Raw genomic sequence first — 15,895 nt, 5'->3', positions numbered from 1 at the left:
CAAGCCTGGTCTCAAACATCTGGGCTCAAGTGACCCATCCATCTAAGTGCTGGGATTATAGGCATGAGCTACCTTGCCTGGCCAAAAATTTGTATTATTTTTGAACTGTTTTACTGTTTTTTTTTTTTTTCCCCTTTAGAGTAATTTTCCACCTGCAGTCTGTTGAATCCAAGGATACGAAACCATGGATACAGACGGATGACTGTATTTGTGGATCCTTAGACACTCCTGGACTGAAGGTCAAGAACATATGCTCTGCACTACCTAAAAAAGAATTCTCAAGCCTAAATGGGGAAACAGGCTATCTTCTTTCATTCCTTGTTTTCTTCAGCTCTACTGCACAACAAGCTACTGCCATCAAAGACAGCTACAGATTCATTCTTGGAAAGGTAAACTTACGGGGACAACAGGTACTGCTTTACTTCCATCCCACCGCCACATGAATAATGGACGTGCTTATCATGAACATAAATACAAATCTTAAAAAAAACTTATAAACGAACCACAATGAAATGATTAAATATACTATGGTTCATACACCTAAAATATTAATCATTAAAAATGTTAACAAACTAGCTATGGCACAGAAAATGTTAATTATATTTAGATTTTATTTATTTATTTATTTATTTTTTGAAACAGGGTTGCCCAGGCTAGAGTGAAACAGTGTGATCATGGCTGATTGCAGCCTCCAACTCCTGGGTTCAAGCAATCCTCCCACATCAGCCTGCCTAGTAACTGGGACTACAGGTGTGCACCACCACACCCAGCTAATTTTATTTTTCTTTTTTATAGAGACAGGGTTTCATTATGTTGCCCAGGCTGGTCTTGAACTCCTAGTCTCAAGTGATCCTCCTGCTTCTGCCTCCCAAAGTACTGGATTACAGGCATGAGCCACCGCACCCAGCCCAGGTTTTAAAACACACATAAATTTAGATCTACATATAAAATACAGTTAAAACTATGTTTTAAACAAAATCAAACCAAAATCTAAAATTTATTTCCAAAGGAAAATAGAGCAAAATATAAGACTGATTAAGTACCAAAAGCATTTTTTCCTACTTCTTCAATTTCCTAAATTTAAAAAATAAATTTTAAAAATGAATAAAGCAACAACTGAATACTATTTTATTCAAAGACATTTTAAGTAATAATTTATGAATTTACCCCCATTCTTAGCTCTTAAACTACCTCCAAAAGGACTAAGCAACATATTGAACACAGGGATTAAAAATAAAAACAATCCATTTAAGAAATGAATGATAGGCCAGGTGCAGTGGCTCACACCTGTAATCCCAGCACTTTGGGAGGCCAAGGAGGGAGGATCACTTGAGGCCAGGAGTTTGAGACCAGCCTGGGCAACATAGCTAAACCCCGTCTCTACAAAAATAAAAAATAAAAAAAAATAAATGAGCCAGGTGTGATGGTAGACACCTATAGTTCCACCTACTCAGGAAGCTAAATTGGGAGGATCCCCTGAGCCCAGGAGTTCAAGGCTGCAGTAAGCTATGATCACGCCACTGCACTCCAGTCTGCACAGCAGAGGGAGGCCCTGTCTCTAAAAAAAATGAGAAAAAAAAAAAAAAGAATGATGGATAATTTATCTTGTAAAATTTTTTTTCACTGGCAAACCAATATTGTCTTAATTTTCCTAAATCAATTATTCCAAAGATTACCCAAAAGCTTTCAGAACAAATTAAACTGACATTAATAATGTTATCTACACTATACACAACTGTAATATTATCTTTCCAAGTAATGGAGAACTCTTCAAGTAATGGAGAACTCCTGAAAAAAATATTTCAGAAGACTAACAAATCATCACAGAGCAATCCAAACTGATAAATGGGACCTACATTTCAATGCAACTGTAACAATTCTAACATTAAGAATAAAGAAATTTAGATTTACTATTCTAGATAGTACTTTAATATTTGAGAGCCTTTAAAAACATACATTACTTTACAATTATTTGAGGAAATGTTACTAGAGGATAGCACCCCACAGCTATCTACATTAAAAAAAAGCACTTTTGCACTAATTCAAAGAGCCCTGTTTTCTTCACAAATATGCTAACTAAAAATTTTAAGATCAAGGACAAAAGGATAGGTTCATAAAACTAAACAACAGATATAACTTCCAATCTTACCAAGTATATTTTTAAAAGCAGAGATTTTCTGAATCTGATATAACTCTCATATAAAACGAAACTACAGGCCAGGCACGGCGGCTCACACCTCGTAATCCCAGACTTCGGAAGGCCAAGGCAGATGGATCACTTGAAATCAGGAGTTCGAGTTCGAGACCAGCCTTGCCAACATGGTGAAACCTCAACTCTACTCAAAATACAAAAATTAGCTGGGCGTGGTGGCGCTCGCCTGTAATCCCAGCTACTCAGGAGGCAGGAGAATAGCTTGAACCTGGGAGGCGGAGGCTGCAGTGAGCTGAGATAGCACCACTGCACTCCAGCCTGAGGAGCAAAGTGAGAACCCATTTAAATTTAAAAACAACAACAACAAACAAACAAAAACCTACAACAGTAATTTCTAGCCAAAATAAACGATACAGGTTTATCACCCCAATAAGAAAATCTAAAACTTTTTGGACATGGACATGATGCTCAAAAAATCATGCTAAAAAGAAATGCTCATTGGAACATTTCTGATTTCAGATTTTTGAATTAGGAATGCTCAACTGGTAAGTATAATGCAGATATTAGAAAATCCGGAAAAATAAATCTGAAATCCAAAATACTTCTGGTCCTAAGGATTTTGGTTAAGGGATACTCGATCTGCAGAGCATACTTTCCCTATTCCCTAAAGCCCTAGTCATTTAAACAATCTGCAAAGTGATAGTTTTGTTCCTACATGTGTAATGAAACTTTTGGGGTGTTCTCTCAAGATACAATCAACACATGCAACCTTGGTGAAAAGAAACAGCAGGTGCATTGGCTCATGCCTGTAATCCTAGCACTCTGGAAGGCCGAGGCAGGCGGACTGCTTGTGCTCAGGAGTTCCAGACCAGCCTGGGCAACATGGAGAAACCTTGTCTCCACCAAAAATAGAAAAAAAATAGCCGGGCGTGGCGGCGCCCGCCTGTGGTCCCAGCTACTCAGGAAACTGAGGTGGCAAGATCGCTTGACCCCGGCAGGCGGAGGATGCAGTGAGCTGAGATCGCGCCACTGCACTCCAACCCCGGCGAAAGAGACCCTGTCTTAAAACTGAAAAAAATAATAAAAAATTTTAAAAAACCCACAAAGAAAGATTAAAAAGAAACTGAGGCGACATGTCAATCTTGAAAGACAATTATTTAGGAATTCAGGCCCCGCCTCTAGAGGCGTGGCCTCGGGGTCCTGGCGGCCGCCATTTCAGAGCTGAGGAACCCGCTCTCAGGAAGAGCGCTCGTAATGGAGAAGAGCCGGCGTCTGGCCGGCCCGGAGGGGCCAGAGACCCAGATGGGAGAAGAAGGCCTGCTTGCCAGTATTGCAAGGCCCAGCTATCACCAGACGTGCCCCAGGACACAGAGCACAGTGTCCAGCCTTGACACGTCCTCTCCGGAGTCGCTTCTGATGCCAAAACACGGCTCTGCCACTTGCCGGTTATGTATGTGAACAGTTCTGAACTTAAGCCGCCATTTCCTTACCTGTAAACTGGGGGTTCGTTTTCCGCCATCAGATTAGCAAAAAGAATGAATGATAATGTCCAGTTTAGTCCAAGGCATATTGAAACCCGTTGCGTGCCCTAGCAGCTCTACCAGGAGTGGATAATTAGAGTAAAACTTGGCATTACCTACAGACGTTTTTAAAGTATATATCCTTTTTCCCGGCAGTTTCACTTCTAGACACTAGTTATAAAGAATAAGTACACATATACAAAAGTCATTTGTGAAGATGTTTAATGCCATATTGTTTGCGTGCTAGAGAAACACTGGGTGGGGGGGGAATGTAGATTAACAGGAAACTGGTTAAGTGAACGCTGCTACATTCAATCCGGGTTACTAACATCCATCCAAGAATGAGCTACATCTAGGTAGTGACTTTTTTTTTTAATACAAGACATTAAGTTTAAAAAGCAGAACACTGCACATTATATAATCTTATTTATTAAAACACAGGCACACAAGACCTAATACTACTTAATGTCACGTGCACTACTCCTTTTAGATATTTATTGAGAGCCTATTACGTACCACACATTGTTTTGGATATTGGGAAATCAACAGTAATTAAAATCCCTGCCTTCTAGTAATGGGAGAGCAAAAGAAAATGCAAATAATAAAATTCAGGCTGGATGTGGTGGCCAAAGCCTGTAATCCCAGCACTTTGAGAGGCCAAGGAGGGAGGACTGCTTGAGACCAGGAGTCCAAGACCAGCCTGGGCAATATGAGACCCCGATCTCTACAAAAATAAAGAAAAAAGAAAGAAAGAAAATAAGAATATTAGTGCATGGTGGCACACTCCTATAATCTCAGCTACAAAGGCGGCTGAGGCGGGAGGATCACTTGAGCCCAAAGTTGGAGACTGCAGTGAGCTATGATTGCCTCACTGCACTCCAGCCTGGGCAACATAGCAAGATCCTGTCTCTTAAAAAAAAAAAGAAAAAGAAAAAAAGGAAAATGAAGCAAAGTGAGAAAATAATGACAGGAGTATGTGGATCAACATAAAAATAAATGTAGGGGGAAAACTAGAAGGCATGGAATGTGGGGAGACTATGAAGGGGATTTTTTTATGGGAATAATAACAATAATACCTTCCTTAATAAAGGATTAAATGAGATAAAACCTGGAGAGTTCCTAGAGCAGAGCCTGGTGGTTGAGACTTCAATGTCTAGAGCCTGACTTGCCTAGGTTCAAATGTGGACTATGTCATTTCCTGTGTCTTGGAGACCTCATTTAAACTTCTTAATTCCTCAGTTTCCTTGTCTATAATGGAAATGTGATGTCATACCACCTCTTAGAGTTCTTAAGGATTTAGTAAGTTTTAGATGTAAAGTACCTATAACAGTGCCTGGCTCATATTAAGCACTGTAGCTGTAGTACAGCCATCTCTTATTATCACCGTCATTACTTGAGGCAGAGCTTTGAAGCCACACTTGCTGACCCTCTGGTTGTTCCTTCCTTCAGCATCCCCAGCTGATATTTGCCCAGCACTTCACAGCTTAAAAATTCAAGGAGCCTATGCCTCATTCAAACTTTTCAGCTCACCTAAAACGATGGTCACCTCATTTTTTAAAAAAACTTACTGGGGTGAAATGAACCATTTTAAATTGAACATTTAGTGGCATTTAGCGCATTCACAGTCTTGTGCAGCCACTAACCCTAGTTCCAAAACATTTCCATTACTCCAAAGTAAAACTCTTTACCCATTAAGCAGTTTCATCCCCATCTCCCAAACCTCTGGCAACCACCAATCTATGGATTTTTCTATTCTGGATATTTCACAGAAATGGACTCATGTAATATGTGGCCTTTTGTGGCTGGTTTCATTCACTTGGCATATTTTCAAGGTTCATCCACATTGTAACATGTGTCAGTACTTTATTCCTTTTTATGGCTGAATAATATTCCACTGTAAGTTTATACCACATTGTGTTTATCCATTCATCTGTTGACAGACATTTGGGCTGTTTCCATTTTTTGGGTATCATGAATAGCGGTGCCAGGAACCTGTGTGTTACATGCTAGATTGCCTGGCCCTACTTTGGATACCTCCGGTTTAGTGGTAGGAGAGGTCAAGAGTGCTGCAGTTATTAGGAAAGGTCTCCGAAGAGGAATGGGAGGAAGGAATGAGTCTGAAATGGTCTGAAGGAAGAACAGATATTCCATGATGTCAGATCAAACGAGGAGGAAAATAATGGGGGGTGTCACAGGTGAGGGAAGAGGATTGGCAGGGAAGGCTAACACTGAAACTTTCCTGGGTAATAGAATGTTCCACTTCTTAATTTGAGAAGTGTTACATGGGTGCATGCATATATATATATATATGTAAAAATGTATATATAATATGTATATTATAAATATATGTATAAATACAAATACGACTTTTTACATACACACATTTTTACATATATATATGCATGTATATATAATATGTATATACATATATACATAAAATGTGTGTATATATATGTAAAAATTGGTGTGTATTTTTGTATACAGTTGTTATACCTCAATAAAAAATTCTGAAAGATGAAAAAAAAAAAAGAATTAGTTAAGGAGGGGGAATGCTGCACTACCAACCAGATTTGTGACAAGTAGGGTTATAGGACATCCACAACTCCTCCCACACCCCATTACCACCCTAAACACTTTTTTAAATATAGAAACTCAACAACTTGAAAATAGACACAAAACAATCCCCAGGATCCAAGCCAGGGACCAATGGATCTCACTCTCACTTTTTTCTTCACATACACCCCTTAAACTTACCATGTGCTTTACTCTTTACAAAGACCGCTTTACGTACATTACTTCTTATATCTTTTCAAATAATCTGTAAAGTCAGTGAGGCTGGCATTTTTTATTTTTTTTAACAAAAGAAAAGAGACTCAGAAAGGCCAAGAATCTTGCTAGTAGTGGAACCAGACCTAGAAACCAAGTCTCCTGCATTCAATTCTGCAACTCCTACTATACACAATACTACCCCTTCTGTAATACAGTAAAGCCTTCTAGAAAACATTTGGCTGGGTTCCAAGACAGCCGTCCCAGACTGAATAAGACTCTATATAGCAAACAGTGTAAATAGTGAGGGTTTAATGCAATTACTGGCATGGAGGCATACATCTTTTTTTTTAAGTGAAGAATTAGTTGGTTTTAAAGTAAATCAACATAGTGTGTGAATGGTGTGGGAAACAAGCAGAACACTTCTAAAAAGTCAAAATGAAGTACTGTCGATTTGCACATTTCGCAATAGCGAATAGAGGTAGTGGTCATCAATACAGGAAGGAGAAAAAAAGACAACAAAGAGTGGACAATTAAGAAACTACATAATGTTTTATTTTTGGGAACTGAAATGAGGAATTTCTCCCCATCCCACACCGAAATACCTTGAGATTGAGAACATCAGTTTATAAAATACTAAGAAGTAGGAGAGAATTTTATTTAGCCATCAAAAGGAATGCCTGTCAAAATTGCTGGCTCTGAAAGATAGCTGATCAGAAATCCAAAGCCCCATTTTTAGATCACCTATTGGTACTATGCAGTTTAAATTTACTATTTTACCCTTTCAATTTTTCTATCTGTAAAATCAAGTAACACTTTACCCAAACTATTTTCTAATGACCTTGGAAGGAAGAAATGATGTCTAAAAAGGTAATGATCAATATTTTATTTCCATCAGCCACTGAAAAAAGTATTTCTCAAGTATCTATGTGCACAGTACTAAGCTAAAAGTGCAAAGAAAGCAATGGTCTTTATAATCTAGATGAATAAAGCACAGAGAAATACAAAATAATAATTATGTGACGAAATTGAGACATCTCAGAAAAAGCTTTCACAGGAGTTGGGTTGAACATAGCAGTCAGAAAGAATGAAATTGGATTTAATCAGGATAGAAGATAAAAAGAGTAGTTATAAAGTTAGGTAGGCAGAGAAGAGGCAAGTTGGTTGCTGTCTTTTGGGCTCCCAAAACATAGCACTCATTTGCTATTGCACTGAAAACACTGTACAGTAGTTTGTCATTGCCACTTACACTATAAATTCCTCAAGGACAAAGACCTTTTTCGATTCATTTTTCTATTCCTAATCCCTTGCACAGGGTCTGGCATACAGAAGATAAATACTTTTTGAAAGGCAACGTTAACACAGAATTCCCTATTTAAATTACTACATCTTAACCTACACTATTCGTCCAGATCATTTACTTATTGTCTCTCAACTCCAAAACTACCCTCCCAGACTCTATGTTGTTATGGCTGAGACTGCAACTATATTTCATCAACTCCTTTGCCAGCTGGGATCTCCTTAGGCTTTGCCAATAGCAGCAGTAAGTGAAGACTGGAAAACAGGAAGATGGGAGACGGGACATCTTTCCAGTTCCTGTCAGTAGCAAATGCAGCCCCTGACCCTGGCAGTTAGCAAATGGTTCCAGTCTCCAGGTTTTTGTGGTTCTCCCAGAACCAGCAATAACACATGCCTTTATAAGTACTAGCAGCAAGCACACAATGCTGACCTACTCAAAAGTCCAGCACCGGGTCCATAGAACCTCTTCTCTGAGCTCTTAGGTTCTGATTACTGTAATGTTCCCCCCTCCCCCGCTTTTTTTTTTTTACACTCATCTAACCAACTCCCTATATTAAATCCTTTCTGTTGAAATTCTTACTAAAGTCTCCGTTTTCTCTACTGTACCCTAGCACATTGTAAAACAATAATTCTAACTGCTCTCAGATATCTTGTTGCTTCACTGAAGGGGAAAGTAAACAAAATTTGGGTTATTTCATAAAAACTATTTCATAAAGGATAACGTGAAACCCTCTAAATTTGCTTCTGTTAAGCTGCAGCATAAAAATAATTTTTGTGATTTAAACTACTACACTGTTTAAATGAGAGAAAATGAGAAATAATTTTAAAAGTGCAAGTTATTCCAAACACACACACTCACCTCCTTTAATGTAGCACATATCCTAGAAATAATGTGAAATGATAAAGTAAATGTTCTGCTATTCCCCAGTGGTCCCAGTTCTCACATCCTCTGATAGTGTGGCATGAGATCCTGATTTTTTTTGAGGCAGAGTCTCGCTCCGTCACCCAGGATGCAGTGCAGTGGCATGCACTGCAACCTCCACCTCCTGGGTTCAAGCAATTCTCCTGCTTCAGCCTCCTGAGTAGCTGGGATTACAGGCGCGCGCCACTATGCCTGGCTAATTTTTGTATTTTTAGTAGAGACGGAGTTTCACCAAGTTGGTCAGACTGGTCTCGAACACTTGACCTCGTGATCCACCTACTTCGGCCTCCCAATGGATCCAGATTCTTAAATTTAAAGGCACTCCCCTCCCAAGGCACCTCCCCCATCCCCGCCCCAAATGCAAGGTCCCTAAATGCAAGCTAACTACTTCACGCAGTGCTCAAAGAAACACCAAGAAACTGCAATGTGTTCCAACACCAAAGCTTAGCTGAACTTATTGGTATGTTGTTCTGCCTTCCTGAGGGATTTTCAAGCATGATTTTTTTTTTTACTACATGTGATTTTCATTCTATGCATCGACTTTAGAATCTAACCTCTTCATACAACTCCACTCTATAGCATAGAAACAAAAAGAAATCCCCCTTGCAGAAGAGCCCGTAAGTAACATATCTTTTGAAAACAAATGACCAAAATGCTTACATGTTTTTCATTTGGCTGGTTACTTCACTTAATAGTATGCTCTCATTAGAAAATTTAACCCAAGGTTAATTTCAAAAATAACTTTTCACCATTGTACTTAATACAGATAAACTGATTTTTAAAAATTATGATAAATGGCAAACATGTTAATTCTCAAAATGAAATGGGAGAAGTAAATTTAAGCAATAGAAATCTTAGAATTTTTAGTAATGTATATAGCTCCTTGAGCATCCAACAAGATACATAACTAAGCCTAATCATACCACTCTGCCTCAGCTGTCTAAAAACCGTAAAGCAAAGGAGAATTAAGAACATGGCCAATTCTACCGGAGTTGCTCCACACAACATAAAACTGGATAATGGGTCACACCTACGCTCTTAGCACCTATAGTCAGGGACTCATCACCTAGCTCCTGCCTGGCAACACACTAACACTAGCTTCTACTTAAATGCCAAGAGTCCCATGACCACAGTCAAAATATTTATGTAAGACCAATCAAACTGCGCTTCCCCCAAGAAATACCAGAAGACCCAGTAGACACATTAGGTAGAAAGGGTAGAAGACCAGTAGGCAAACAGTCAGGATATCTGGACCCTTAAGGAATGGACTGTGTAAATGCTATTATACCTTTGTACCCCAAATTATATGGGCACCTACTCAGTATTAAATGCAAATAAACACTAAGTTACTATGACAGCTTAGATGTCAAATAAATGAATCAATCGAGAAATTAACCATTGTCTGATGACAATGTCTTCTACAGTGTGTGCAATAACACGAATTAAAAACCAATTGTAGATGTGTACGTGCGCAGAGTACATAATCTCTTATTTTTCTTTTAAAAGCTGCAAACTGTGATGGATTTTTAGTTTATCCAGAATTTAATGAGTCATTTCAAAATTATGAAGCGCTTTAAGTCATACTAGAAACACTGCCATAATTTTAATAAAGTGCGTTTTAATATTAACTCATTTCTCTTGCTGGAAGAAATTATGCTTCTTTGCTAATGTATAGAAATGAAACTGTCACTGAAACATCTGGTTATATATTATTCATTAGGCATATATATCACCTTTACTCCAAAGTCTGCATAATATAAACACAAATCATGAATAAATCAGATTAGAGACACAGACGTGACACCACAAACTGTAGGTCACTAATAAAATTCCAAACATGTTTGCTGACCTGGTCTATATTTCTATCCATTCAAACCTGGGAGCTTCACACAGGCAGAGAAAAACTCCAAATTCCCAGTATTTTGAAAGTCTGCATGGTCTACATTATGTTAGTGATTGTAACTGGAAATTTTTCTATGCAACACACTTTAGGACAACTAGCTTATTTTTCAAATACTCAAACGGATTGGCCTGACTCGGGCAATTTTTCTTCGTAAATCTGCCTCTACTATAATTAACCTCAAATGTGGATGCCACAAGGATACCTGAGGAAAATAACTACAATCCTTACAAAAAGTGAGGGACCATATTTGCTGTGCTACCCCTAGAAAAAGGAGTCACCTATAACTACCTATTATTTTGCTAAAAAGTAGTTTAAGAGTACAATCAAGATTTTTAAAGATACTTGTTGATTGTGAAAAGTAGAAATTTCAGGGGAAAAAGGGAATAACCAAGAGTCATATTGCTGCTATTTAAATACTTTATAAATCCAAGGATCAAATTTCACTATAAGAAGCAAACTCTCACACCCACCTCAGTTATTAGAATATTCAACAACTGCACTTAATACAAAACAGATAGATTAGCTACCAATTAGACTAAGTATTCCAGCTGATCATCTTGGAATTACCAAAAGTAGATTATGTAATGCAAATCGCTCGTACATTCGTTTTAAACATATCCTCGGTTTAGAACACTGAAACCATGCCTTAATTTTTTTAATTGAAAAACAGCGTATTACTAAAATACTGAGTGCATATGTATATCCTTTTCACGGCACTTCAAAGAAACCTGACATCTTCAAATCATTTTACAATGTAAAGTTACATTCTCTAAAACTTCCGACAGCCTCGAAAAAGATACCCAAAGGGGCTTCAAATAGATGAGTCTATAATTGATCTTAGCGGGCAAATAACTGGAATGAACCTCAAAGTTTGAGATCAATTTTTACTAACACCATCTCTGAAAGCAAGAAGGAGACTTCTGTAGAAGGTAAACGATTCTGACCAGCAGGACGTGGGCTCCCGGCAAAAGTGGGTACTAGCATCTCAGCGTAAACGACACGGTTCAAAACGCGAATCTTCCCGCAGAAACTAACCAAGACACCCCCTCCCCCCACGACTCCTCCTGGGTAAGCTCACGGTTTTAGAAAGCAGCAACAGATACTCCAGAGCAGGAGGCGGCACTCCAGGAATGTGTGAAGCTGAAGGGGTCTCCCCGAGGAACCCCGAGGTCGAGGAGCTCCTCTACACTGGAACCCCGACTCCGACCCCCCAGAAGGAAGGAGCGATATCTGCACAAAGTGCCCCCTACCCCACCCCCACGATGCAGACACACATCCCTAGCTGCGAGGCGAAAGCCCAGAGAAAAAACTCGCATTCCACTCCGTCCGCCTCCGGAGTAGGGCTGCAGAGAGGCTGGGGCCCCCGCCCCCGGAGGCGAGGGGACCGCGCCGCAGCGCCGGCCTCCGCGCAGAGGAAAGGGCAGCGAAAGGCTCGCGGCGAAGGAAGGAATCCCGGCGCTTCGCTGACTGGGTCCTCCGCAAACCAGCTCCCTTCCCTCCCACGACCCTCGAAGACACGGGAACAATGAGAACCCGCTTCACCCGCCGTCTCCGCCGCGAGAGCGGCCGGGGGCGGCGGCGGCGCCATGTCCCTTCACACCCCCGCGGACACACACCCCCCCCACACTCCGGGGCCCCCGTCAGTCGCCTGCAACGCTGCCGAGTAGACGCGTGTCCCGGCCCGCTGCTTCCGCGTCCTTCGCCTCCCCGCCCGCCCCACTCACCGGCTCCTGCCCCAGCCCAGGGCTCCGCTGGCCGCGGCCGGAGCAAGACTCTGGTATCAGCTGCCGCGGACGCCGGCGCCGCCGCACAATATGGCGAGCCTCAGCTTCCGCAATGGAGCTCGGGAAATACAACAGGGGCCGCTCAATATTCATGAGAGACTGAGGGGAAGCCGGCTCGGCCGGCGCTGCGGGGAGGGCGGGAAGGAGCGAGCGAGCGAGGGGCGGAGGCGCGGGACGAGGACGTGCACGGCGCGGGGAGGCCCGCGGCGCGAGGGAGGGTGCGCCGCCGCGTGTTGGCCTGGAGAACCCGCGCCACCGCCCCGCCCTGGGCTGGCCGGCCACGCCCCCCCGGCGCCCACCGCGGTCCGACGTAGCCCCCGGGCAACGCCCGGATGACGGCGCAGCCACCTCGTGCTCAACCTTCTGCTTGGGTTCTTCTGCCCTGGCTTCGGCCCACCCTTTACACCTTCCTGGCCGGCTTCTGGGGTTTGGGCTCAGACTTCTTTCTCATGAGTTCGTCCTCTTAAACCTGTCCCACCCGGCGGAAATCCTCATCAGGCTTTGGTTTGCAGAACTTCACATGAACTTCGGCACCCTTCCGCTCTCGTACAACAAACATACACTTTTCATCCTTGCAGGATAAAACTGCAAGTGTAATTGCTCCTGGGAAAATGACCTTCCACTCTAAACTTAGCTTAACATTCTGATTGTGGTCATCAGCTCTTACTATTTACCTTGCTGCTGCTTTATTCCTACCTCCTTGGCCCCTTCCAGTGTTACCTTCTGAACTTGAGGATTTACGAAGTAATAGATTAATAGATGTAATCATTACCTAAAACACAGCCAGTTAGTCTCCAGTAAATTATCCGACATTTAATGCATATAAATTATGAGCTGAAGAAGTAACGAAGAATTGAAAGTTCCCTGATCTCTATATGTACTATTGTTGAGATGTCATGTTCTCTTGAGAAGATAACCAGCAATACCAGACCGTAAATCTGAAGGCATAGAGGCATAAACCAATGGACTGCAGTGGGAATTGGGCAAACTAGGTTCATAGCCTCCAATGTGTGTCTATGTGACTTACGTAGATTGCGTAGCTCCTCTGCACTTCATTTTCTTCGTCTGCGAGATGAGAGAATTGTATTGAATCCTAGGTCCTTTCCAGTTCTTTAACGCTCTGAAACTCTCTATAAGCAATTCCAAATAAATGACATGAATTTACATAGGAATTTGGAAAAGAAAAATATCAATTCCAGCTGGTGTGTTTGGGGATGATTTCCTGAGGAGCCGGGATTTAAGATGGCCTTTGACGCCTTGGATGGGTGGAAAGAAAAAGGACAGGTGTTAAATACAGCACATTATATATGCTACCTAACAATCCATCAAAGAAAACAAGCATTATTCTTTTTCAGTGGCTTGAAAGCTTTTGCCTACTATCTATAACTTTAAATAACAAGTGACAGTTATCTGACTCTACAAGCCCTTCAAGGTTAAACTCTTCCTCCAATGTGGGGGGAGAAAAAAAGGCTGGGTGTGGTAGCTCACGCCTGTAATCTCAGCACTTTGGGAGCCCAAGGCCACCGGATCACTTGAGATCAGGAGTTCGAGATCAGCCTGGCCAATATGGTGAAACTGTCTTTACTAAAAATACAAAAAAAAGTTAGCCAGGTGTCGTGGCACGCGCCTGCAGTCCCAGCTACTCGGGAGGCTGAGGCAGGAGAATCGCTTGAACCTGGGAAGCAGAGGTTGCAGTGAGCCGAGATCGCGCCATGACACTCCAGCCTGGGTGTCTCGGCGAGACTGCGTCTCAAAACAAAACAAAACAACAACAACAACAAAATCAAAATAATCAGGGAAGCTCTGCTTCTCCCTTCTTGTGAAAGTCCACTTTCTAGAAACAGTGCAGTTGCAGAAGCATCTCCCTTCTTCCTTCATGACGAGTGCATGTGTAGTTCAATTAAAGGAAGACAGGTGTTCATAATTTAGAACTTTTGCTCTAATTAAAATGCCTTTGAAAATCATGATGTGTGGTTAGATTAAGCAATTCAATTGATGTTGAGAAAAGTGATGATTTGTAGAAAGCGCAGGAACTTTATGGATGAAAGTTAAATATAGTGCTTAAAAAAGACTCACAGGAGAATTAGTGGAAAAACGGAAAACTTATGGGATATCTGGATTAAATGTGATTAAAAAGCTAGACCTCAGGCTAACATCCTTAATATGAAAAACACTACTGACAAATTAATGGAACTCATTTTATCTATTTTATCTCTTACTCAGAAACTTGGCACTGGATCTTCTCTGACTATATTAATCAGGAAAGGTTATGTTATGGTATAGTAACAAACATCTCCAAAATCTACATGCCTTAACACAACAAAAGTTATTGTTTGGTTATGCTTCATGCTTCATGTGGATCCAACTCACTCTGTTCTGGTCACTCCAGGAACCAGATTGATAGAGACACCACCATCTTGTAGCTGTACCACCCTGGAACACAGAAACTTATTCTCTGCAGCAGAGGAAGAAAATGGCTAAAGAATCCCCGTGAATTTTTCGTAGCCTTAGCTTGGAAAAGAGAGCACTGATCACATTTCATTGCCCAGAACTGGTTGTACAGCCCCACACATCTGCAAAGGGACTGAGTCCTTGAACTGAGTTCAGAAAGAGAAGTGGGGACATTGGTGAACAATGCTAACGTCAGCCACCCTGACCTCACCACTAGGTTCCTAGATGCCATGGGAAAATTCTAAGAGGTTTTATTCTGTAACACTGGTTCTCTTGAGTGACCCCAAGAAAGTTATGCGTTCAAAAGTAAACTCTCTTACTTATTAAGAGTTGACTGCCATGTAAATAGAGTGGACTTTCCATTTTCTTCCCTGTTGTTTTAATCGTATATTATATCGATGTAAACTCCATAGTAAATATATCAGTAGTGATTCACATATCCAGACCACATTATTTTTGCTAATGTTTTGACCTGACATAACAGATATCGTTCTAAAAAACATTTTCTAGTAACACTCTATCTGCATGTTAAATGTGCTAATTGGAAGTGATATTTGTATTTTAAGTAGAGGAACATTAAATTAACACTACATAATAGAAGTATATTATGGGTGATGACTAGATGAATTCTAGTTAAAAAAAAATTGTCTTCCTTTAACACTTCAGAAGTAGTATCAGGTTAACTACATGATGAATTGGGTAGGTATCTCTAAGTGATCATAAAAATCACCTCTTGGCTGGGCATGGCGGCCCAGGCCTGTTATCCCAGCACTTTGGGAGGCCGAGGCCGGTGGATCACCTGAGGTCAGGAGTTTGAGACCAGCCTGGCTAACATGGCAAAACTCCGTCTCTACTAAAAATACAAAAATTAGCCGGGTGTAGTGGCAGGCGCCTGTAATCCCAGCTACTCGGAAGGCTGAGGCAGGAAAATTGCTTGAACCTGGGAGGCTGAGGTTGCAGTGAGCTGAGATCATGCCACTGCACTCCAGCCTGGGTGACAGAGCCAGACTCCATATCCAAAAAAAAAAAAAATGAAAGAAAAAATCACCTCTTAACTGGTATTCTGCTATAGTCAGGCTACAAAATTAAAACTAGTTT

The 15,895-nt window shown here is 41.1% G+C and overlaps 1 protein-coding gene across 2 annotated transcripts in view, besides 1 other annotated feature; it reads right to left on the bottom strand.

Annotated features, from left to right (window-relative positions):
• The window catches only part of RNF2 (ring finger protein 2), a 57,046-nt gene extending 44,668 nt beyond the window's left edge, over positions 1–12,378 (bottom strand). The window contains exon 1 of one of the 2 annotated variants that reach the window (NM_007212.4): positions 12,287–12,378. The gene's annotated coding sequence lies outside the window, so the exon portion shown is untranslated. Of the gene's footprint in view, positions 1–11,640; positions 12,183–12,286 lie in introns of those variants that run through there. The other variant, XM_011509852.3, reaches the window with a different exon arrangement.
• Positions 12,489–12,748: a silencer, noted in NCBI's record as "silent region_1643". NCBI's record gives its function as "represses an Ori minimal core promoter by ATAC-STARR-seq in GM12878 lymphoblastoid cells {active_cell/tissue: GM12878}" and the evidence as "EXISTENCE:reporter gene assay evidence [ECO:0000049][PMID:35858748]".

Source organism: Homo sapiens, chromosome 1 (assembly GCF_000001405.40).
Source record: "Homo sapiens chromosome 1, GRCh38.p14 Primary Assembly".
NCBI classification, from domain to species: Eukaryota; Metazoa; Chordata; class Mammalia; order Primates; family Hominidae; genus Homo; species Homo sapiens.
Note: the sequence above shows the minus strand (reverse complement) of the source record. Positions and strands in the feature narration are given on the sequence as shown.